We start from the raw sequence: 26,319 nt of genomic DNA on the forward strand, positions 1-26,319 counted from the left end.
AAGGAGCAGGGTGGGAGTCAGTGGATGGAAAAATACTAAGAGGAATGTTGGGGTAAGGGGGATTCTGGCTAAATTAACCTAACAGGATTCTTGCTGAAGATAGGCCAGGGTGATCGGACACCTGGGGGATGGTGGAGGATGAGGAGACTGATCAGATACCGAGAGTGGGAGGTTCTTGCTAAACTGACTTAGCAGGGTTCTTTGCTAAACTTGGATTTTACAAGGAAGTGCACGCAGAGGCCTAGGAGAAGATTTATGAGCCTGACTAAAGTTTGGCCAGAAAAAGAATCTTTGCTACATAACTCATTTGATAACTGAACTTAACTCATTGCCAGATGACCCCATATACTGCCCAGGCTGGGGATAGAGGGTGACTGAAAATAAAGACGAACTCAAGCTTACGATGACATGAAGAGAGTGAAACTACAAGTCTGATCTCTCCCCAGGCCCTCAACAATGCCACCACTGTCACCACTCAGTCCAGCTGGGCCGGGGATGGTGCTCACCCACACTCTGGATGAATGCTGTTTTGTGCTCTGCTGTGTTGGTTCTTCTGCAGCCCTTTCTGTCTTACCGATAGGTTGCCCCTGCCCCGCAGGAGCCAAGAGTGCCCAGTGAAGCTTTCTCTGTGGATGGGACTGATACACACCATGACATGTGTTGGGAAAGTCCCTGGTGCTGGATGAGTTCTCCTTCAATAGCTTTGAAGTTATGTGGCTGACCCTGTAGGAGTAATTGGTTTCTTATGAATGATGACCTATGAATTAAATAGGAAGCAATTCTTGTCTACAAAGTTTATCTCCAGTGATAAGGAAAAGACCCCCAAGGAAGCTCATCGATATTCGGGGACTCAGCATTCACAACTGCAGGGGGCACCATTCATACCATTCATGTGGCCCTAATTCAATGCTCTTGTAATTCTTCATACTTAGAACATTTTTGGGTGATCCTCTATTAGAACAGGCAGATGGAGTTAAGCTGGCTGCAGCCAACGATCAAATGGTTCCTTAAGTATTCCTACTTTTCTTCCCTCCTCTTTATCTTCCAATTGAGTAAATAGATGCTTTCTGAATTATACGTGTTACTTAAAAAACTGATTAAAGAAGCAGTTTATAAGCAACTCTTGCTAAGTGCCTTGGGTAAACCTGCTGTCTCACAGAATTGAGCAGGGCAGAAAAAGGCATCTTTTGGAATGCCAGTGTTTCATCTAAGTTTAATTTGATACCAAGGGCTGCTTGACAGCACCCATCTGGTTAACACTGAGTGCTTAGATGTATATTACGGTAAATGGCTTAAAACTGGCAACTTCTAGACATTAGCTCACAATCCCGTTAAGATTCCTGTTAAGCCCTGGGGATAATGCACAGCCTGGTGTAATCAAGAAAACTGTAGCAGTTACACTCATCCCAACATCCCAATTATTCCTAACTTAAATGTTGCCATCCGCCAGATTTCTCAGCCTAGTGAAGCTGTTCCCTCCATTTAAAACAATTGCTTTCTGAAAATTTGTGTTTCTTTGGTAAAAAGATATACACTAGGAGGAAATGATTTGGAATTTAGAAGTGCTCACTACAGGGTTCTTATTCAGTATTTTTATCAGTGATTGGGAGTTGCGGTTGAAACCAGGCTGGGAGAGACAGCTGATGACAGTCAGAATCCAGAAAATAATCCGTACAAACGATGACAATGGTAAAGTGAAGTTGATAATGCTTTAAATAACAAAGCTGTATGTCACGCTGTGAATATACTTGAAAAAAAATCAACTGAAAACTGACATGACTTGGTTTGGTAAAAACTCCCTGGAGGTTTGTAGTTCAGCAGAAGCCAAATCTGTGATATTGCTGTGAATGGAAAGTTCATCTAACCGTGTTTAGCAAATTTAATGCAAGTTAGTGTCCAGTTTCTGGAGATAATGGTTCCTTTGTGCACGTTGTCGGAGATCCTACATCTGGAGTCTTGTGCTTGACTCCATACACTTTAAGAGGAATGTTGCCAAATTGGAATGTTCCCAGTGTTGGGGTGTGGAGATCGTGCTGACACCAGAGGTCTGGAAATTGTGTCCCCTTCGGAGTGGTTTGAAGAACTGGGGCTGTGATGTCCTAGGAAGTTAAGGGAGACAGGGCTGCTATTATAAAACATTTGCCTGCTTGCCAAGCAGAAGAAGGAATAGGCTTGTATTTTTTGATCCCTGAGGACGGACCTCAAATGGCAACAGAGGCTGGGGTGGGGCGTGCATTCTTGTTCGTTCATGGAAGGCAGGCCCTTCCAGTAAGCAAACGAGCCAAGCTGTTGACAGGAGGTGGCAAGATTTATGGAGATGCCTCAGAAAATATTCGGGCTTTCAGCCTAGATGTTGGCTCAGGTCCCCTTCGACAATAAGGTTCTATGGTTTTGTAAAATAGCTAGCACCCCTGGTTCTTTTCAAAAATTATTTTCTTCAGAGAGATAGAATGGTGGAAGAAAGGCACTCTTTGCTGTGGCATAGATCATAGAAAGCACAATAACTGCTTGTTTCTCATGAGAGCTGAAAATGCTCTGGAGATTTCTCTAAATGTGGCTTTTCTTGTTCTTTATTTTCTGCAGATCCTGTCAGGACTATAGATTCCTTATTCCTTTATTTGATTTGGTGTTTCACTCGAGCGGGCTAAATAACAGTGATTATTATATGCAAAAAAGGTTGCTACAGTTATTTTTCCCCCTGATATGAAAGCTAAGCCTTGTTTTCCTCTTCTTGGCAGAAATTGTGCTTTTCTTTGGAGGAAATCATAAATCATGATTGAAAGCAAAAGCTGTTTTGACCCAACTCTTCCCCTTTTCTCTATGGAGAAACAATCACTTGGCGATGATATAGCACGTACGAGACAGATGATCAGAATTAAATTCTTTTATCTGTTAACAAGCTCATCTTTTCATTGACTCAAATCCTTTTAAGAAATATTATTTTGGGGGAAAAAGCCCCCATTTTGTGTTAATTTTTCTGATCCTTTGACAAATATGTTTATTATTCTTTTAAGCAAGTTGGGCACCATTTTACATAAAATTATAGCTTAAATCAGAGCCTTATGATTGAAAGAGACTTTGCATAAAAAAAGCAATTACTTATTTGTCCATGTTAAACTTAGATGCAGTGTTTAGAACTTAAACTGTGAAGTTTAAGTTGAATTATGAGTAATGAATACAGAATATTTTGGAATTAACAATTAGCCTACTGAATAAAGCTGCTTCCTGAATACATCTATTGCTTTTGAAGTCAAGTATTTTCTTGGCATCACAACAGGCCAGTTTTGAGTAACCTTGTTGTGGTTGATATGCTAGTTTCAAAATCTGCTGGAGAAATCAAAGCTCGGTGTGGTTTTCTGACTTCCCACATGATTAACTGTAAGATCCCTGCCATATAGATGGCTAATAATATTTTCCATAGCCACCTGGGAGTAACAAAGAGCATTAACATTCATTACTGCATGTTAATGAAACACATAAATATTGAAAATAAATATTGTATGACTTGAATCTTTAGCAAGGTTTCTATTCTTTGCCAGTGATAACGTTTGTTATCATAGAGTGAAAAACCAGTTTCAGGCGTCACACCAAACAGGAGCTATCATGGTAATACCCAGAAAATGTGACAAAAGGCTAACTGTTGTGGACTTAGCTTGCGTTGTTAGTTATACAGATTTTTTGCAGAGATTTGATATGAAGTTGGGTTTATAGGAATTAGGAATTCATGATGGAGTCTCATGTTTATTGCTTCTTGGTCCGCATTGGGAAAGTTGTCAGTTACTGAGGGAACAGGAAATTTCCATTGTGCTTTGCTGCTGGCAGTCTGGATTTGTGTTGTTTTAGAAGTTTTCCTGCTGTAAGCTACTTTTAAGCCAACACACCCCTAATATTCAAGCGTTCAGCAGGAGAGAGCAAGTTAGAAGACTGTCTCTCAGAATTACTAACAAGTCATCTCACCTGTCTGCTTTAAGCTTCAAACAGGTTAATCCTTGGAATTGTCGGGGGCTAATAAATTAATATATGTAGGCCTGTACTTTTAAGGGGAGTGATTATTTTACATTTGCTCAAACATATATGTTTGAAGGGAAGGAGAGAGGGGGATTAAGCTTCCTAAAATCTCAATAAAGACCCCACCCCTCAAAAAAAAAAACCTCAAAATCTTGAAATAGGTCTTACTGATATGTCTAAGTGGCTTGGATTTTGTTTAATTTCAAAATCTGAAATTGCTTTGAGTCTTTTTATTTGAAAATCCTTCATGACTGGTTTCCATATGTGTTTTAGGAAAAAGAAGGGGGTGTCAGCTTTAGAAATCTCTTCATGGCTTGATTTATTTTGAAATTAGTGAAGAACAAGATTTTCTCTCCTTCTGCTGGCCTTTTTTGTATCAAGCTAAAGTTTTTAGGAGTAATACCATGGTAACAATTTTTTTTTTTTTTTGAGATGGAGTCTTGCTGTGTTGCCCAGGGTGGAGTGCAGCAGCGAGATCTCGGCTCTCTGCGAGCTCCACCTCCTGGGTTCAAGCGATTCTCCTGTCTCAGCCTCCCGAGTAGCTGGGACTACAGGTGCCCGCCACCACGCCTGGCTAATTTTGTGTATTTTTAGTAGAGATGGGGTTTCACCATGTTAGCCAGGATGGTCTCAATCTCCTGACCTCGTGATCCACCCGCCTTGGCACACGCCTGCTGGGATTACAGGCATGAGCCACCACGCCCGGCTACATCATGGTAACAATATTGAACTTTTAATCTGAAAAATTAAAACTGTGGTGTTTCCCAGGAACCCTAAAAGTCTATAGAATGATATTTAATATAGATGTTGGCATGAGTACATTTACAATATAAAAGAACTCTGTCTTTTGAACATCAGCTTTTATACTCATGGTATTTTTACCTTTAAGTCAGATCATGAAAAGTCTCCAACACTGTTGGCATAGTACATTTTGTCTATTTAAGTGCTAAATGCCTCCCTATAGGGGTTTTATATGAAAAATGAGTGATGCAGATGTATTGGGGACAAACCTGGAATTACTGGAATGTGAACTTCCTTATATTTATTTTCAAGCACTCAGGAAAATTCTCTGTCTCTTAGATCTAAATAAATTCTCTAGTTTTGTTTCCTGATAATCCTGGGAGCAGATCACTTGGTTGTTTAAGGGATCCTGTTTTATTTGAAGCTCTATTCCTTTATTTCCAAGAGTCAGTTCTTTTCTTCAACATAGCCTTATCGTACTCCACAAGACTTTGGGTATATGTAGAAAGTGTTCTTTCTACATACGTGGTTCTTAGGACTTTTGTAATGCAGTGAATATATTTGGGTGGAAGTGGATGAGAAATAGTTTGGAATACAATTATTAGACATTTTATTGTTTACAAATGCTTTATTAGTATGCTCACATATTCTCTTTCTTATACCTTTTTCTTTTCCCTAAAGACCTTCTGGGTTTTTTTTTTGTTTTGTTTTGTTTTGTTTTGTTTTAAGATTATTTGGTGCTTGAGACCTGTAGCTATGATTTTGAATGAACAGGGCTACTTCCAGTAATTAGATCATATAATGAAGATTTGAAAGTGCTTATTTTCATTTTATCTCCTGCCCTTCCCACAATGGATGCAGTACAGAAAATCAAGACTATATGTAATTACACAGTATGTTATACACACACACACACACACACACACACACGATATTCTATATAGATCAAGAAATGTCTTACTTCTTTGTGGGCATTGGGGAAAATAGTTTAGGTATATATACTCTTCCTTCCTGCCCCCACCTCTCCACCAACACACACACACACACACACACACACACAAACATACACACACGCTGCCTAGAGTTAATTATAAATTATGCGTATGTTTGATCTTCAGCAAAGTGGAAGCATAAAGAATGGTGTTTAAATGCACTGTAGGGCCCCAATTCGGAAGTTGTGTTATCGCAAAGCTTTACTAGCATGCAAAGCTTAATTAGGTTAAACTTACCTAACCTAAACTTGCCATTAACCTATTTTTCTGGATATAAATCATAGCTATAACAGTGATTTTTTTTCTTTTTATTTATTTTTATAGAGGAAGGGTCTTGCTTTATTACCCAGGCTGGAGTGCAGTGGCGTGACCACACTCACTTGAAGTTTTGGGCTCAGGTGATCATCCTGTCTCAGCCTCCCAACTCTAATAGGTGGGACTACAGACATGTGCCACCACACCTGACTAAGTTTTTTATTTTTTATTTTTGTAGAAATGGGGCCTCACTCTATTGCCCCCAGGCTGGTCTCAAACTCCTGGCCTCAAGCGATCCTCCTGCCTTAGCCTTCCAAAGTGCTGGGTTTATAGGCATTAGCCACAACACCAGGCCCTTAATAGTGATTTTTTTTTTTTAGACGGAGTCTCGCTCTGTTGCCCAGGCTGGAGTGTAGTGCAGTCTCAGCTCACTGCAAGCCCCGCCTCCCAGGTTCATGCCGTTCTCCTGCCTCAGCCTGCTGAGTAGCTGGGACTACAGGCGCCCACCACCAAGCCTGGCTAATTTTTGTATTTTTAGTAGAGACGGGGTTTCACCATGTTGGTCAGGCTGGTCTCGAACTCCTGACCTCGTGATCCATCCACCTCGGCCTCCCAAAGTGCTGGGATTACAGGCGTGAGCCACCGTGCCCGACCCATAATAGTGATTTTTCAACATCAATGAGTATGTATGATATTCTCATCAGTGCTAAATACTGATATCAGCTGTATTCGCTTAATTCTTTATTTACAAAACAACTTTTTAACTAGAAGATTTTCTCTTGTTTCCTAAGGTTTCAGGAATGTAATGGTTCAAGGGGAAAAAACGCCAACCCAATAACACAGTACCAAAACTCTCTGTGATTTTACAATTGGATCATAAGGATACCTGTGGTATTTGAAAACCTAATTATAGTTATACCTCTTGGCATAATTATAAGCTCCTCTCCTTCCAGACACAAAAATTAAATGGTGAAATTTTTATGTACATACATAGCACCAATGTGGAATAAACCCTGCTATTTCTCTACATGAAAAATAAATGTAATTGGGGTAAGTTGACATTTTCTAGAGAGGACATATAGGCTAGGAGATGCTGAAGCTGTTTCTTTCTCCCCTCAGAAACAAAACACTGTAATTGTGATTTGAATTAGAATGTACCATGCCAGGGACTGAGGCTTTCTTTAATGATAAAATACAATCTACGTAATGTTCTTCTGTGGAGAGAATTTGTGTTGACAGGTAAGTATTACACATGGACAACTTTACTCAAATGTTTTTAAAATGTACACCCAGAAGTTTTGTCTTTGTGTAAAATATATTACTGCTTTTTCGTCTTTGAAATGCCAAGGTTTTCCCCTGTGTTCCCAGATAGCAGTCAGTAATCCTGCACTTTAAATTCAAATTATTGGCTGGCTTAGATCCTGACTAAAAATTTGGGAGGAATAAAGGATCATGGATTTGCCTGAGGAAAGATGAGTTCACAAAACCTCAGGAATGAATTAAATGCAAAATGAGTCTGTTTCTTTCGGTGGTTTGGATTTGGGGTTCTTTGTAGCAAAACCTCAAGGATTCTATCAGTTTGGATTTTGGAAATTAAATTAGATGGGACTAGTATTGTCTTTGAGAGAGACTTGTTGAGGACAGACTGAAGAGGAAAAGCTCAGGTGAACACATGATTTGCATCCAGTACATGTTGTAAATTATTGGCATATTTTGGCTGTTCCTCAAAGCAGGACTGGCTGCATCTGTGCTTAGAGGTAAAACTAATAGAGGACCACATTTTGGTTCTTCCTGTGAGCTCAGTACTGTGTGAGTGAGTTACTTACATCAACACAGCCATACGAGTTGAGTATTATTATTACTTCTGTTTTAAGATGAGTAGATAGAGGTTGAGAGGGCTTGGGTAATTTGAAAGGGCACAAAGTCAGGATCTAAATCCAGCCCTCCTGGTCCAGAGGTTTATCCTTGTGATCCTGACCATTCTACCCCACAGGAGCTGCTGTTAGCTTTATTTCTCTGTTGTTGAAAACTAACTTAATATCCTATGTACTAAACTTTTTCTTTTAATAACACATAAAACTGGAAAACAAAAGTTCAGAAATAATCACCTCACCTGAAGAGATGATTTTTGCTAGATTTTGTGTATTGTGGAGGAATATTTTTCCTCTAACCTCTTAAGATCCTGAGGGCCTAAGAATTAAAACAACAAAAGACAGAATAACAGTAAAAAGTCTGTGTGTAAGAAGCTTGCCAACTGGTTAAAGCCAGAGACATGTATACCTAACATAGTGGGGTATAGGGAGGGAATAGTGAGGAGAGAGAAAAGGCCTCTGGGAGGGACCACTGGGTTTCTTTATGGAAGGGGAAGGGGTTTCTAGAGATAAGCAAGTTTGTTCTTGCAATTGTGAGTGGTCTTTTGGTCTTTCTGTCTTCTTCATGGTCACAAAAATCCCTGGAGAGGGGATTTATGGTAGGTTTACTCTTGGCCTCCTTTCTGGGGGTAAAAGCCACCTTAAGAGGAAAATTATGGCAGCCTCATTTTCTTTAAATTTCTGCTTCTAGTCCAGTAAAGGAAGCTCCAAGAAAGCTGCTTTTTGTGTCGGTTGAATCTCAAATATCTTTAGCTTAAAATAATCTTTATAACAACTATGGAGTTCTGAGTGGGTCTCTCTGTAGGTGTTTTGATCTTCTATTTTGTATCGTTGGATAAAATGTGTCATTTTCCTTGCCCTCAGAACCCTCTGATGGCGTCTCTTTTCCCTCAAAAGGAAATCAGTCTTTAAAATGGCACAGAAGTTATGCATGGTCTCTCCTCTCCAGCTTCTCTGACCTCTCCTGATCATCTCAACCTTGTTCAGTTTGCTCCAGCCACAGCTGCCTGCTTTCGTTTCTGTAGTTCTCCGAGCACTCCTCTGCCTCTGCACATTTGCACTTGCTCTTCTCTCTGCTTGGGATGCTTTCCCCCAGAGAGCTGCAGAGCTCACTCATTTCCTTCACAGCCTTCCCTGGCTAACTTATATAAAGCAACAACACCAGGCTGGGCAACATAGTGATAGCCCATCTGTACAAAAAAAAATTAAAATTAAAAATTAGCTGGGCATGTGGTGTGTGCCTGTAGTCTCAGCTACTTGGGAGATTGAAGTGGGAGGTTCACTTGAGCCCAGGAGTTGGAGGATGCAGTGAGCCGTGATTGCCACAGCACTCCAGTCTGGGCAACAGAGTGGTACCCTGTCTTAATCAAATAGTTAATCAACAAAATGAACTAGCGACCCTCCTCTCTGAGCTCTCTTTTTCCCAACTCTGCATTGTTCTCTCCATAGTATCACTGTCTCTTGTATTTTCACTTGTTTATTTATTTATTTGCTGTTCCTACGCAGTGACTGTATTTTGTTTATTGCTATATCCTCAGCAACTAGATGAGTGTCTGGCACATAGAAGATGCTCCATAAATATTTGTTGAATAAAAGAAAGAAGTGAAAATGTGTGAAATCTACACAGACATGCCTGTGCACACACAAACATGCACAATATCATACATGGTATTATGTAGCCTGCTTTGCATTATATCAGGACTAATATTACATTGTATGGCTATTTTTGTAATTTTTACAATTATTAAGATTTTTGACAGTATAAATTATCTTGGTAAAAGTTATTGAGATTTAATTGGAGCTACATAATTTGTTAACCTGGGCTTGTCCTGTAAATGTTAGTTGGCCATGATTTTATTTTTTCCTTTATCTTTAATTTACAAAGCCAGTTAGTTGATAATCCTGTTAGCAACTTTAAACATCAATATTCCCTACTCCCATTACTACTAAGTCACTCTTTTTAAAGGTCATTATTGTGCCATACTTTTAGAAATATTAAAGAAAATGAGCTTTTTAGACTGCTAAAACTGGGTTTAATTCTGATTCTCCCATTGCCAGCTCTTGTGTTCCTGGGCAAGTTATTTGACTTCTGAACCGCAATGTTGTTGGTTGTTAAGATGGTTATGATAATATTTAACAGAGTCATTTGCAGATTTAATTGAAATAATTCATATAAAAGCAGTGCCAGTTCATGGTTATACCCTGAAAAATAACTGCCAGGCAGATTGGAATACTTGAATCTCTATTTTTTAACCTCAGAATATAAATGGATATTGTGTGCATAATTCTAAAGATGTCTCCCCACGCTGCCTGTCTTCTGGTTGTTCAAACGCTAATCTAGGCACTGCTGTGAAGGAACTTTGCAGATGGAATTAAGGTTACTAATCAGCTGACCTTAGGTTGGGGATAGTTTTTTGAATGATCTAGGTGGGCCGTATGTAAATAATTACATAAGCTTTTAAAAGCAGACAATTCAGGCCAGGTGTGGTGGCTCACACCTTTAATCCCAGCACTATGGGAGGCTGAGGTAGGCGGATCACGAGGTCAAGAGATCAAGACCATCCTGGCTAACACGGTGAAAACCCATCTCTACTAAAAAAAAAAAAAAAAAAAAAAAAAAAAAATTAGCTGGGTGTGGTGGCCAGCGCCTGTGGTCCCAGCTACTCAGGAGGCTGAGGCAGGAGAATTGCTTGAACCTGGGAGGCGGAGTTTGCAGTGAGCTGAGATAGTGCCACTGCACTCCAGTCTGGGCAACAGAGCGAGACTCCATCTCAAAGAAAAAAAAAAAAAAAAAGCAGACAACTCAGAGATGAGGCAGAAGAGGGAACCAGTGGAGAGACTGGGCACAAAGAGAAAAGACTTGTAGGGTAAGAGGAGACTCCACCTGCCATTGCCGACTTTGAAGGGACCATAAGCCAAGGAATGCAGGTGATCCCTTGAAGTTGAGAACAACCCCCACAGCCAGCAAGGAAATAATGATAAAGCCTCAAGTTCGCCCATCATGGATCCTGGTGGCACTACTCCCTCCTTAGTGTCTTTCCCCAGGCTGTCAGTCAGAGTTATTCCCTGCATTTAATATGTCATTGTGCATATGTGGGGTTTTTTTGTTTTTTAACATAAAGGGACTTAAGGAATATGCAGACCCCAAAGACTCAGCACTGGGCAAGCCAGCCATAAACACTTCCCTTTTTTTTTTTTTTCTTTTTTGAGACGGAGTCTCTCTCTGTCACCCAGGCTGGAGTGCAATGGTGCGATCTTGGCTCACTGCAACCCCCGCCTCCTGTGTTCAAGCGATTCTCCTGCCTTAGCCTCCTGAGTAGCTGGGACTACAGGTGCGTGCCACCACGACTGGCTAATTTTTGTATTTTTAGTAGAGACAGAGTTTCACCATATTGGCCAGGCTGGTCTCGAACTCCTGACCTTGTGATCCGCCTGCCTCGGCCTCCCAAAGTGCTGGGATTACAGGCGTGAGCCACCGTGCCTGGCCAATGCTTACCTTTTTACATGAATTCAACCTGTGAGACAGTGAGAAATTACTTAACTTTGAACTTTTGGTCTTTCTTCTTCAAAACTTGAGATAATATATACAGTCCTCTGCATGTAAGAAGACAGAATGAGTGTACTTTTTATCTCCAAATTTGTATGTAAGGATATTTGAAAGGGAGTCAAGTGTGTAGTTTAGAAATAGTCTTCTTAAACATTCACATAGCTCCTTTCACAAAAATAAAATTCTCTGAGCCCTTTTCATTATGATTTACCAAGTCTGGTCTTGTTTTCACTGTTGTCATTGTTGTTGTTTAAAGAAAATTCTTTTCTAGTTGATTTCTGGAAGTTGAATGGCAGGGAGATGAAGGTACCTTAAAGGTAAATTTTTGCATGACTAACTTGTCCCTCTTGTGCTAATTATACGTGCTTTCACTTTTCTCCAACAGTCTCCAAGTTCATCTTCCCTCTGGCCTTTGATGTGTGTCTGTCAGCTAATATTTTTATACAGGTAATATTTTCGAGTTCCTGCCAGAAGAATTCCAGGGAAAACTTTCTCATCTTGCTTTCCGGGTCTCTCCTGCCTCTCTCCCTCCCTCTTCCTAATCTGCTCTTTGTTCTCATGGCGTCCTCTCCTATTTTCCCAGGCCGCCAGCCCCTTTGACTCCCCGTCAAGGCCAGGTGCTGGCCAGTCACCTCACCGAGGACCCCGGTGGTCCCCAGAACCCTTTGTCTTCCTGTCTTATGCCATGACTGCCCTGTGACCGCTGCTTCCAGGCTGTAGGGCACTGCTAGAAAAAATGATGAATCACTGCTGTCTCTTCAGCAGACTAATTAATAGACAGCAGTCCTTTGATTCTTCATCTCCTGTTGACTTCCCAACCCATTTCCTTCAGTAGCTCTTAGAATGCTTTTTACACAGTTTGTAAGTCCCAGTCTGCAGTCTCCACTCAATCTCTAAGGATGACATCACTACCTTATTTTATTGAGAAGATCTGGGTCAGGGGACACAATTCAAATGTCAACAGGGGCCATCGAAATTATTGAAATGAAAGGGGTGTTAGGCAGGGGCTGTTGTAGACTTGCAGGAGGCTGGCCTTGCCCAAGGAGGGGCAGCACTCATTGGAGTCCGGGGAAAGCTGGGCTCAGTATTGCCCCATCTTCTGTTTTCTCTAGAAAAATCAAATATCTGGTTTTCTAGTGAAATCTCTACCTGTTGAAGTCACATTTTTGGAAATACTGTGTGGGCTAGAACAAAACACATCTGGGAGCTAGTCATCTTGATTCTAGGGCTTCTCTTTCTTTTTTCACCTCACCGTATTTCTCTATATTCATTTGCCAGCATTTCTTTGTCTCCAGGGTCACTTCTTTTCCTTCCTGTCTCACATGTCCAGTTGTTTTCTCTCTACCTTTTATCTGCATAAAAACATTCAGGATGTCCCCCTTCCTAAGCACATAACTAATGACTCCTCCTTCTGTGCTACTCCCCGTGTCCCGTCTTTTCTTCGTTCTTTCATACTGAGTTTATAAACAGTGAAGGGGTCTACGTTCATTGCTCTTACTTCTTCACTCCTTTTAACACCTACAGTCGTTTGTCTTCACGACTTCTCTGAAGCTGTCTCATTCCCTGGACCCTATGATTGTACTAACCCGAATTTTCCTCTCTGAGCACTACTTTGCCGTCTGTTTTCACCAGCTCATCTTGCTACATCCTAACCATGTTATTTCTCCATCTTACTCACTTTTCCTTCTTAAATAGCCCCCATAACTACCCTTAATTATAAGTTATTTTTTCCTGGTTTTTCCTAGTATTTCATCTGCCCATCTCATGTGACAGCCTTATGTTAGATTACATTATAGGTCATTAATATGCTTCTCCTAATGGATCATGAAATTTTTTTTTCCCAGAAAGAGACTTTACCTTATTATTAAGTTTTTTTGGTTCCCTATACCATGTAGCCCAGTGGTAGGTATCGAATACATTTTTTAAATGATAACTTTCACATTATTAGTAATTAAAACCTAAGACCATAGGATACCTCTGATACCGCCACCACCAAGCCCAGCAGATTAGAACTTATGAAGGTTTTTTTGCCACATGCTAGGTTTGGCCCATGATAGTCAAAGAAAAAACTATGTCTCTCACTTGAATGCTTCTTCCACAGAAGATTAGCTCTGTGATTGTATTCCAGGACAGCTGACTCCACCTGCTGTTCGCAAAATATGGAAAGTATATTATTTGCATAGCAAGGATGGGTTTTCTTCAGAAGTACTGTTCTAGACAGAAATTGGTAAAAACTCAAGTGAATCAAAAGCCTTTAGGATAAAACCCCATTTAGAATAGTGATGGGGGACAGGGGTGAAGAAAAGAGGTAGTCCCTCAAAGTTAAGCTTTAGTTTGAGGAGGAGATTTTAACTTTTAATTACGGATAACAACTACTAAAAATGGATAATAATGAGGACTTTTGGGGCAGTGGGTGAGGGCTTATTGTTTGCTAAGCTCTCTATGTGAATTACATCACTTAATTCTCACACAGTAAGTGGGAATTATGGAATCTCCATTTTATAGATGAGGACCCTGAAGCACAGAGAAGTTAAGTCAGCTTGTTTAAGGCCACACGGTCAGCAAGTACTGGAGCTGGGATTCAGCCAAATCCCAGAGCCCATCCTACTAACCGCTCTGTACCAGAAAAGGGAGTTGAGGAGGGAAAGAAAGGATCAGTCTGGAACATCTGTTTCCTACCCCTGTTACTAGGATCTAAATACTACTTTATAATAAGTCTGTTCCTGCCCCAAAGGCAATTTTGTGGCACCTTTGCACATTGTGCCTCAGTTTATCTTCCATATTACTCAGTGTTAGCAGAAGAGGAAAGCACACTGGTTTTGTTCTGTCTGTCTTTCTAATCTATATCAATAAAGGGCAGAATATCAATAAGGAAAAATTAACCTACGTGAATTTTAAAGGTGAACTGGAATGTATTAAATTGTACCTGCAAATACAATTCAGACCATGGGGTGCTCTACAGGCCCAATAACTCAGGTTCTTCAGTGAATAACTTGGAAGGAAAAAGAAAAAAGATGAAGAAGGAACCTGTAGATTGAAACACTGTTTAAAGATCTATCAACCAACCACAGTGGTGGGTCCTAATGAAACCCTAATTTAAACAAATGGTTTTTAGATACAACTTTTATAAAATAATTGGGAATGTGATCACTGACTAGAAATGGGGTGATGCTGGCATAGAAATTCCTCTCCCTAGCAATAGGAATTATTGCTAATTTGGGGGAATATGATAATAGTCTTACAATTACCTTTTAGACATATGTACTAAAATATTCATGGAACAAATGATAGGATTTCTTGGATTTGCTGCAAGATAATATGGGAGTGTGGGTGGTGGGAGGATAGATGGAACCAGATTGGCATGGGTGGTGATTATTGAAGCTGGTCATGGGTACTTGGCACTTCATTGTCTTAATCTACTTATGTTGGTACATCTTTGACATTTTCCATAATGAAAGTTTCAGGAAAAAAAATAAACTGGTAAATCCAACTTAAGCAATAAATTAATTTAAAACTTAAAATACTTAAGGTATTTTAAAGTCTGGAAAGGTTGTTTGGTCTCAGTGAAGTTTAATCCTGGCTCAGCATTCAGATCAAGTAGATATTGTCGGGACACTGATTGAAACCCAAGATAAGTTTATATCCCATATCATTAAGGAGACATTCTGGACTTAAAAAAGTTTAAGAGGTGGGGTATTGCTATGTTGCCCAGGCTGGCCTCAAACTCCTGGGCTCAAGCAATCCTCCTGCCTCAGCCTCCCAAGTAGATGGGATTGCAGGCTCTCACCACGGTGCCCAGCCACCAGACTTTTTAATTTTTAAGGGCAACGGGAAAAGAATAAAATTTGCCTTTAATCTAACTCATCTTTCCTCTTAAGAGACTACATGGCATGGACCCATAGTGGCCTCAAAAAGTTACAGCCCTTGATGGTGTTGTGAAGAAGAAGGGTCATGGGATCTCATAAGAAAGAGAAGTTGTCATTAATGCTGGTCAGGCAGTTAGGCAAATGTAGCCACAGTAATCTTAGAAGTTATTTTTTCATGTTTTCTGGTTCATTAGGGAGATTTTGCTTTTAATCTCAAAAAGTACTGCTGTATTCTTTTTTGTATTGGTTGACTATTTAAAAATCAAAGTTTGCAGGGGAGAGTGTTCTTAAGTGATATATTAAGCTTAGGATAGTGTGTTTAATTACTGCTTTCTGTAGAAGTTAAGAATGCCAGTGTTACATCTTTCTTCACCAAGCCCATCTCATTCAGCTTCCAACTGTGTAAGGATGAGGGATGGAAGTGGAGGGGCCTTGTTTTGCTTTGGAAGCAGATATGATGCCAGGATGTTCTCAATCACGGAGTGCTTGTGGGTGTAGTGGGTCACTTAACAGAGCCGGCTTCCCTAGCCAGCCTTCTCCTTCCAGCCTCTCCCAGACTTCTCCCGTCTTCTAGAAACTTCCTTCCTAAAATTATTTAATGGCTTTGCTTCCATGACCTGTGTTCTTTCCCAGTGAATTTATCAATAACCCATCTTGTTGCTGACCACTTTTAAACAGATGAAGTTCAACCATGAATGAACCCAGGGATTTTTACTAAACTTTCTGGACCTGTTTTTCCAACTACATTGTATATGTATTCACCAAGAGGTTCCATAGGCTTTTTGAACTCAAATGTGATAAAAATTTAATTATGCACCCCCTGCCACTTTATTTTATGTCTTCTGAATTCTCTGTTACCACAGAGAAAAAGGTCAGAAACCAGAGTCATAGAGTCATCAGTGATGTCTGCTTCTTCATGCCCCAACTGAATCCCCTAAATGCTTTTCTCAGTTTTACTCTTCCCTGCATTCTCACTGCTAGTTCATGGCCCTGAAACCATAATTGCATCCCCTGCCTCCAAATTCATCCTCTGGTGTGGTCTCCAGAATGATCTTTTTGAAATTCTAATTTGATGTTGATTTTTCTCCCGCTTTAAAGCCTTCTGCAGTGGGCTCTGAACCTTTTTCATCAGGGTACTGCTGTCATCAAACTTGTGAGCATCTCCTTCAGTATGTATATTTATTATAAATAATACACACATTATTGCACTGATATATTAAATACTGTAAACACACCTACAAAGTAGAAGTCTCGTATTATCTTTCATACAACACAAATAGTTGTATGGCTATACATAAATAGTTGGATGGCTGACTATGCCTTCTGGTCTGACTGCTGAGGCACTCTTTAATTCACCCCTCTGCTTTCCTGCCCACTGGCTCTCTGTCAAAAAGTCTCCCTTCCTCATTCTCACATGTTCCTACTCACCTCAATCATTCCTGTGCATATATCTACATTTTTTTGTTTGTTTGTTTTTGAGACGGAGTCTTGCCCTGTTGCCCAGGCTGGAGTGCAATGGTACAATCTCGGCTAACTGCAACCTCTGCCTCCCAGGGGGTTCAAGCAATTCTCCTGCCTCAGCCTCCCGAGTAACTGGGATTACAGGCACTGGCTACCATGCCCAGCTACTTTTTTGTATTTTTTAGTGGAGACAGGGTTTCACCATATTGGACAGGCTGGTCTCAAACTCCTGACCTCATGATCCACCTGCCTCGGCCTCCCAAAGTGCTGGGATTACCGGTGTGAGCCACCGCGTCCAGCCTACATTTTATACAGTTTCCAAGTTTAGATATTTTAGATCCTGTTCTCCATGGTCTTTAGCATTATAGCCTTGATAATTTCTTAATTTTATTGCTTTGACTTCCCCAAATTAATTAAACCATTTACCATCCCTCTAATAATGGATATTCAGATATTTCCAATTAGTTATTGTTATTTAGAGTTCTACAACATCGCCACCGGTGAGAGTTAGGATTTTTTGTGTGTTTTGGTATATGTAAAATGGTAACTCATGGCTGTTTAATATGCATTTTTGGTTACCATTGCAGATGAAATTTTCACCATATATTTATTTTCTTTCCCAATAAGACTAGGATTTCAATTTTTTTCTTAAAATATATACACTTAAATAAAGTTGTATTTTACATACTATATAGTAATCATTCCTTTATCGAATATGCAGTTCTGTTAGCTTCCCTAATAATAAAATAGCTGGATACTATTCTGCCTATTTGTTGGATGAGAAAACTTGAGGCTTAGCTAGGCTAAGTAACTTGACAGATCATATAGCTAAAAGTTGTGGACATGGGGTATTAAAAGTCAGGCTGATTGATTTCAAATTCTACCCTCTAAGTCATCTTGCTTGCTTCCTTTGACAAAAACAATACCTAATGTTTATAATAAAATTATAAAGTACAGATAAACAAAATGAAAAATTAAATCACATTTAATTAATCTGAAATCCTGCCACACAGTAACAACCACTGTCAACATGTTGTCATATGATAGCATACCTCAGAGGGAGACACAAGACCCACTGACTGGGGGTGGGAAGGGTTTTGAAAAAATGTACATAAGGCCAAGGTGGGCAGATCATGAGGTCCGGAGATCGAGACCATCCTGGCTAACACAGTGAAACCCTGTCTCTACGAAAAATACAAAAAAAAATTAGCCGGTTGTGGTGGCGGGCGCCTGTAGTCCCAGCTACTCGGGAGGCTGAGGCAGGAGAATGGCGTGAACCCGGGAGGCAGAGCTTGCAGTTAGCCGAGATGGCACCACTGCACTCTAGCCTGGGCGACAGTGAGACTCTGTCTCAAAGAAAAAAATAAAAATAAAAAAATAAAAAAATAAAATGTGCATATACCTCTCCTTTCATCTCCCCTCCCACATCTCTCTCTAATTAAAGATGTTACTGGTAGTAGACTGCTCTGGGATCTGTGATGAAGGGGAAGAAGAAAGTGTTGAAAACCATATTCTTCCTGACTTTTATGTGTGTGTATATTTATGAAAAAGCAGATCCTTTAGTATATTATGAGGGTCCTTCTGTGTCATGAATTATTGGTAACCACTCCTGTAACCTGGTTCTGCTTAATATTCTGATGGATGTACCTCAGTGTACAAACATTGGATTGTTTCCATTTTTTAATTATAAATATTATAACATTCTTGTGAAAGGAGTATATATTCATCGTTGCTCATTTTTCCAGGTTTTTCTTGTAAGTCTAATAAATGTAGAATGAAGGGCCAAAGGCTATTATATTTTTAGGGCTTTTGATGAGCATTGTCAATTGCCAATTTACCCACCGAAAAAGCATGTATCAATCTGGTCCGTGGTAAAATGAGAGGGAAAATGGGGGAGGAGATGAACCCACCAATCCATTTTTTTTTCCCTCAAACACACATGATGCAGAGAACATGGTTGTAATCTGACAATGAAAATGTGCCTATTCCATGTGGGGCATTTTATGGGAAAGAGTCTCTACTGTTCTTGCTGGGTCAGTAATGATAGAATTCATAATGAGCCAACCCACTTTTCAGACCTATGATGACCTCACTGGGGTGTGTTAGTTCCTGCAGTTCTACCGACATGATAAAGTGTTATATACCAGTGGGCTGAAGTCATTGTTTTTATTCAATCACTATACAAATTTCACATTAGTTCAGAATGGCCTTTCACAATGCTTGTGGGATCTCAGTGGTTTGACTTCATATTTTTTGAGTGATATTTGCAGTAACACATTGGTTAGTGATTTAGTGGAAATACTTGATTTTACAGGATTTCTTAGGTATGGGTGCCTGAATTTTGAGAGTGGCGCAGTCATTTCTCTCACATTTTCAAAAAGATAGAACATATTTCAGGACATTTATAGAATGCTTTTTTCCTCTGAGGACATGATGACTGACTGTAATCCGCAATCTCTGATTTCTACCCTGATGCTTCAAGAAATGTACAAATAATGAGAACATCTACTCTAAAGTTCTTGCCCCCAACTGAATTGAAACCCACTGTTTAAATATATTGTTATGTAATTTTTATGCTATAATTCATATTTTTATATAGTTTTAATACATTGTTATGTAAATTTTGCACTTCAGTCCATATTATTCTCATATAAAATAAAGTTTTAAAGTATTTGCCACAAAGAAAAATTGGTATATAATTGGTATACCAGGAAGCTGAACCATGTTCTTTCCTTCACTAGGCTGCCAGTACAGTCTCACACAGCATATTACTCTACATATGTTTACTTTTATATAAAACTTTATGGCAGACTTTAATCATTTCAGTCAATTCAGTCAAAATTTTCAAAGAATGACAACTTTTGAATTCCACAATTGCTCAGAATCTTTGAATTAGGATTTTACTGTGGAAAATAAAAATAATTTGGCAGTATTGGCAAAGAAAGCAAGCCATTACTAAACACTTCAAATATGATTGCAAAGCAACATGTTAATTTAAAAACATGTGGGCCTGTTTGATGTAATATGTCAATAGATATTGCAAATACTAAAATTTTGCAACCTCGAGGGAAATTGACTACAGTGACTTTTATTTTGGCATGGAAAATGGGTTCACTGAGGACTTTGGGACATGGGATTATCAGATTATTCATTGAGCTAGTATTTACAACACAGTGCTTAGTACTGTGGGAACACAGAAAAAACTGCACACTAAACCCTTTAAAGCATAAGGCATGAATCCCAAGCCCTCATCCATCCTTAGATTTGCAGATATACCATAACATGTAATTTCTTCATCTCTTTAATGTCTATTTATTTTATTGGCTAAGGGCTATCACTTTCTTGTACCACTTGATCTTCACTTTCATTGCTAGGACTGACCGCTGGCTTTTTTCTAACAATCCCACAAAGAAATAAGTTTGAAGTTTGCTCATAAGAGTTACTAGATAGTCAGAAAACAAAGCTTTCTTGGAATGCAGATGTTTATTGGTTGGCTGGGCTCCATGTAACTAACACAGCCCAAGCTTGTGATTTGAATTTGCTTCTCAGCTAAGTTAGCTCTACTTGTCAAGGACTCTTCATCTACAATTTGAAAATGCCAAGCATCTATTTGAAAGAATCTGTTATTTGAGAAACAATGTCTTATTGAGAAAGCAAAACAGACTTTTGGAATATTTAAACAGTGAACATTAATACATGATTAAATACCCGAATGAATGGGTGGTGGAAATAGTAACGGGTGTTGGCAATGAGAGAAAAGGAAGACTACATAGGGACATAATATGAAAAGGCTTCATGATTTGGGCAAGATCTAAGAAGCCAAAACCATATTTGAGCCACAAATATGGTTTTGAGTGTGTTGCTAGTATAGGTTTTGATGTTGGTAGTAGAGGAGAAAATAGGGTCTTTAACAAAGGGTACAGAATGAGTATGGCCTCAGAAACAGGAGTAGATATGATATACTGAAGAAAAAGCCGGCCATCCTGGAGGCATGAAGACCAAACATGGAAGGAGATGAGGTTGGAAAAGTTAGAAAGACAAGATGTGGAAGGTCTTTAAAGTCAAACTCAAGGATCTAGACTTTACTCTGCAGACATTGAAAACCAGTTGGAGACTAGCGTGATTAAAAAGAAGGTTAAAAGCCGGCGGGTGCAGTGGCCCATGCCTGTAATCCCAGCATTTTGGGAGGCTGAGATGGAAGTACTACTTGAAACCAGGAGTTAGAAACCAGCCTGGGTTACAAAGTGAGACCTCATCAGTACAAAAAAATAAAATAATAAACTAGTCAAGCTTGCACACCTGTATTCCTAGCTACTCAGGAGACTGAAGCAAGAGGATTGCTGGAGCCCAGGCTTTCGAGGCTGTAGTGAGTTGTGATTGTACCACTGCACTCCAGCTTGGATGACAAAGTGAGACCCTGTCTCTTAAAAAAAAAAAAAAAAGCCCAAAACAACAAAAAGATTAAGACCATCTCTGCACATGACTTGGTGATGAGTAATTTAGTGCTATGTTTTCTCTCGATTTATTTGGAATCATATAAACCTATCTTTCAGTACAGAAGGGCACTGAGTCACATTTAGGTGACATATTTCCTCCCAAAATCCCAGAGAACTTCAGGAAGTGGTGGGGGTGATTCAGCAAGGGGACATCTTCCTGACCATGTGATGGTTGTGGCTGGATAGAGCTCTTTTTGCCAGGCTATGAGAACAATCTTTCCGTAAAGTCTGTTGATGCTTACTCAACGTTTTCTCAGATGGAAACTTGGTGGGGGGTAAGACTAGATGGGAACAAACTTGGAAGATTTAGAGTCTCTCTGCTAAGTCTTCCTCCTGAAGCCTTTCTGAAGGGCCTGAACTTCCTGGAGAGGCCTTACTTACCAAGGAAAAGATAGATATTGGTCAGTTAGCTTGATTCTTTGATTACTTATGCTAAAAAATAAAGAATGATAAGCTTTTATATTCCCAGTACCCCAAGATTAGCTCTAATCTTAGATGGGTCTTAAAAGTCCATGGAAGTCCATGTATAGTCTTATTTTTGGTATCTTAACCTAAATTATGCAGAGGTATATTTTACTGGATTGACCTAACATAACTAACAGACCTTTTGAGATTTTATTTTGTATAATTTATAAAATGGAAAGTATTATCAACGTAGCATAAAGATTAAGAAATGAGCTCAGGAGCTGGACTGCCTGGGTTCTGGTCCTGATTTCTCCACTACTTAACCTTGGACAAGTTATTTAACCCCTCTGCCTTGATTATCTCATTTAGAAGGTGGAAATAATTTACTTCTTTCCTAGGATATTTGTCAGAATTAAATGAACAGATTTGTTGTTTATTTACTAAGAGCAAAGCTCTTAAAATATTCCCTGGTATATAAGTTCCCAACGAATATCACAATTAGTGTATCATAAATGAAAAAATTAAAGCAGTTAAAGGTTAAGTGACTTAGGTAATTATCCAGCAACATGACTATACCAGGATTAGCATTTCTTATTTTAAGACAGTCTACTGAAGTAGCAGGCTTTTTAGACCAGAGGTCAGCAAATCTTTTCTTAAAAGGCCAGATATAAACATTTTATACTTGTGGATCTTATGGTCTCTGTTGCTACTACTCAACTCTGTTATTGTGTCTTGGAAAAATCAACCACAGACAAAATGTAAATGTATGGGTGTGGCTGTGTTCCAATAAAATTTTATTTACAAAAACAGGTGGCAGACCCACATTTGGCCTTCTTACAGACCCTTGCTTTAGACACTTAAGTCATATCTGAAAGGAGACTATAGATTCCATTTCATTTTGAAGGCTGAGATATGGCATTATGTATTATGATAAACAGAAACTTTGATTTTTAATGATTGTTTAACATGTTAGTCTCATGATGGTCATACTTTAGGATAGCAAAGGGATTTAGAAAATAAGCAATAGTAACAAATGTGTTTTTTATCTCAAAGAGATCCATAGAAATCACTTATTTAACAGTTGGAGAATTATCTTGGAATTTGAGACCTGAGGTTGTGGGCAGGATGTTAAGAGTTTGTTTGATTAAATGGACCCAAATATAGACTGGTTTCTTTTTTGCTTCTCTATGTATGGGATAGGTTTGTGAGTCAAATAACAAGCTATTTGTATTTATGCTTGTCATTTCACTAAGGGTTTTTCTTCTAGAAATGCTGTTTGCATGGGTTTGGATTTTTTTATGGCTTACTTTTCAGTTCGATAATGTGTTCTTGTTTTCAAATTAAACTTGTCATTGAGATTTTTTGCGAGTGGCTATGTTGGTTAGTTAGTATTTATAGCTTAAGTCTGTTTCTGAGGAAATGACTAAAGTCTCTTCATTTGATCAAAACTGTAGAACAAAGAACATCTTTGACTTACTTAAACAAGTCCTATGATGAAAACTCAAAAAATATAATGGTTCATGTTTATAAATGTTTTTGTGTATTCAGTCCTGGTTAGGCCAAATAATCAGAGCTCTGTGCTGAGGGAGGGATTGAATATACTCAGTGCCTGTTAGTTAATGTGAATTTCTCTGGAGCACATTCAGGCAATACTTATTTTCTCATAATCCTCCTCCCATCTCTGCCCCATCCCCCACCGCTTTTTTTTTCATTTAACATATTGTTTTGAATTGGATTTTATAGAACATAGGTTTTTGTCTTCTTCTTCTTTTTAAACTATTCTACTAATTTTCTCCTTTCTTATTCCTAGCCAAGAGCCCTGATCCAGGTGAAGCGTGTAAACCTTGCACATGGAATTCCCAGCAAAGAGGCTGGTGGGGATCGGGACAGGGCCTGGGAAGTGACTGACTTGCAGAAACCCGCCATGTCTTGTTCTCTGCTGGAGACCTTTGCTTATCCATCTTGTGAACATCTGCAGCCTCCCCCTGCAGCCTAATCTTGCCCTCTTACTGTTGACTCAGTCCTCATGGAAGTGTAGGTGCCCTTCCTTCTGCTCATTACGTTCCAGAGCAGGAGATGAGGGGGCTAAGTAGGGAAGAAGAGAAGGCCCAGCTCCTGTCTGCTCAGACCCGGACTGACCTCTGCCCTGGGGCTCAGGCTGGGACTTGTATTTTACCATAAAGGCCCTATGACAGGTGGCGGTTGGATTTTGGTGTTAGATCAGCTGTGTTGTGGACTGACTGGGATTTTCTGCACTAGATTTTAATCTAATTATTCTTTGGTAACATTGATTGTTTCAGCTCTTTCATAAACAGCTCAAGGCACCACTTCTCCAACTAAATCTTGTGTCTAAGTCTGAAACAGATGAAAGTGAAATCGCTGTGCCCATGGCTGCACATCCACTCACTTCTGCCTCTGCTCTCTGAAGCATCTTAGGGTGGGAGTCCTAGGAGCTCACTTTGAAAACTGCTCATTAACATGACTGTTTACTTTCAGAGCGCACCCTAGTCTTAAAATTGAGCTTGCCTGTTTACATATAATAAGTTGCTTAAAATTTGCTGGGATTGGTGTGTATATATGGGCCATATATGAAGCCAGTGGTAGGAGAAAGAGGAATGGACAGATACTTACCTGATGTGATTTGATGGGGTGTTGAGAAATTCCACGATGAAAATCCACACCCCCATTCATTCCTGAAATGCCATAGCCAGTAATGCATTTTATTTCACTGTTAAGCACCTGCCTTTTCTGAAGCTTTTTTTTTTTTTAATAAAAAATGTCCTCATGAAGGATATCCATTAAGTTGTTGCAACCTTGGAGCTGATCCTTTTGCTTCCCTACTTGATTAAACATCTGGGGTTAATGAATCCTCACAAGGACAGATAGAAGGAAGGAAACAGCCACATCCATACGTCATAATTTTGTCTAGAACTGGCCCTGACTCTTTATGCATTTGTAAAACATGTATGGGAATATCTCTGGTATTTAACTTGGAGACACCTTGCTTTCTCCTTTGGATGCAGTTAGTTCTGAAGTATTTGAAGAGAGGGCATCTCAAAAGGAACGTTCACTGTTCTTAAATATTCTTTTAGTACCAAAATATATTTTATTACTGTATCATGGTGAGGATATATGTTCCTGTATATACTAGTGGGGATTTTCCCCTAAGTATGAGTTATTCAAGAGATAAGAGAATCAAAAATGCAAGTCTGAAAAATAGTGTATGTATTTCTACATATTTTATACAACTTGTTCCTGTTGGACAACAAAATAATAAATTGTGGACATTTCCCATTTTTTTTTACCTTAACGACAAAATATTGCAAAACCGTGGTTCATTCATTTACTCAACAAACATTCATAGAGTACCTACCATGTGCTACTACTACTTTGTGCTATAAAAATTAATGATGGTGGCTTCAGCAGAAAAATTAGTCATCAGGGAATATTTGAGGTTGTCCAGTAACTGAGGAAGGAAGGGAGAGAAGGGTGGAGTGCTGGACGGGGAAGAAGGAAGAAGGAGGATAGGAGAGAAAGGATGAATGGAAGGAAGTCCTTAACACGTTTTGTTGTTTTTAATTACACTCATGTTATCTAGTTTAATATTCTTTATATAATCAGCCATTTGCCACTTTTATTTTTTCTGATGTGCTATAATTTTAACTTGTCGTTTTTGTATTTGTTTCTTTTCAGTATAAAAGAACGTGTGGATCACTTTGCTGAGTACATCCAAGATTTGAAGAACTGAAATAAATCAGCTTTAAACCTGCTTTTTAAAAATGTAAGTGAACTCACTTCTGGCCATGGTTCATTTCAGACTCTCTAAAACCTGCAATTTCCTCTCAGTGTGTGTGAATTTTTTTCCAGGAGTAAAGTTACTTGACTCTAGTGAGTCTACTCATTAAGTCTAGGAGTGTTTGTATCTGCTCGCCCTTTTAAAACCTGTAAATTCTAAGAGTAGTATGAATAACATAGGTGGCTGTAGGATTTAGACGCGGTGTGGCAGGCAGTGAGCAAATCTTCATTTGGCACTGAGAAGGAAGACACAGACTTGGTAGAACATAAAATAAAAAGCACAGCCCTCTTCTCGAGTCCTTCATCACTCTTCACCTCACAGACCATTTCACTACCTTATCTACACCAGCGAGAATTGCTAGTTGACCCATTAATGACCCAGTAGGCTTAGAATATGAGGTATTGGTTTCTCACAGGCATATTTACCCACTTTCTCCCTATTTCTCTTGCTCAGTAATAATAACTACTATTTATTGAGCTTCTACCAAGTGACAGGCATTTGATTAATTCGATTCCATGTTCATTCTACAAATAGTGTTTCTGAATGCTTGCCGTGTACCAGGCATGGCCCTGACACTACTTATTACCTTATCTTCAAGGCACCCTTGCAGGGTAACAGTTAACACTTCAGTGATCTGGATGAGGATCCGAGAGAGGTAAGGAGCGTGCTGACAGTCACCTAGTCAGTGAGTGTGAACTGTCTGACTTTCTCTGATTTGCCATATCCTAAAGCGTGCTTAGATGCTTTTCCTGGCATGGATGTCAATAAGAGATTGGAACCTTCTGGATCATATTCATAATAGGACTGTGATTCTCACCCTTTAAAACCTTGGCTGGAGTCACAGAAAGAAAGGAAGTTAGAGAAACATCCTGTCACACAGC

General features: G+C 39.4%; 1 protein-coding gene across 48 annotated transcripts in view, besides 1 other annotated feature; it reads left to right on the forward strand.

The window, feature by feature from the left end:
- The window catches only part of PPFIBP1 (PPFIB scaffold protein 1), a 171,359-nt gene that overhangs the window by 28,611 nt on the left and 116,429 nt on the right, over positions 1-26,319 (forward strand). For 39 of the 48 annotated variants that reach the window (XM_024449232.2, XM_017020059.3, XM_024449234.2 and 36 more), the window contains exon 2: positions 25,336-25,423. The gene's annotated coding sequence lies outside the window, so the exon portion shown is untranslated. Of the gene's footprint in view, positions 1-25,335; positions 25,424-26,036; positions 26,094-26,319 lie in introns of all 48 variants that reach the window. The other 9 variants (XM_017020056.3, XM_047429753.1, XM_047429758.1 and 6 more) reach the window with 1 other exon arrangement.
- Positions 21,200-21,494: an enhancer, noted in NCBI's record as "tiled region #6326; K562 Activating non-DNase unmatched - State 24:Quies". NCBI's record gives its function as "activates a minimal TATA promoter and a strong SV40 promoter by Sharpr-MPRA in K562 cells {active_cell/tissue: K562}" and the evidence as "EXISTENCE:reporter gene assay evidence [ECO:0000049][PMID:27701403]".

This window comes from Homo sapiens, chromosome 12, assembly GCF_000001405.40.
Source record: "Homo sapiens chromosome 12, GRCh38.p14 Primary Assembly".
Classification (NCBI taxonomy): Eukaryota; Metazoa; Chordata; class Mammalia; order Primates; family Hominidae; genus Homo; species Homo sapiens.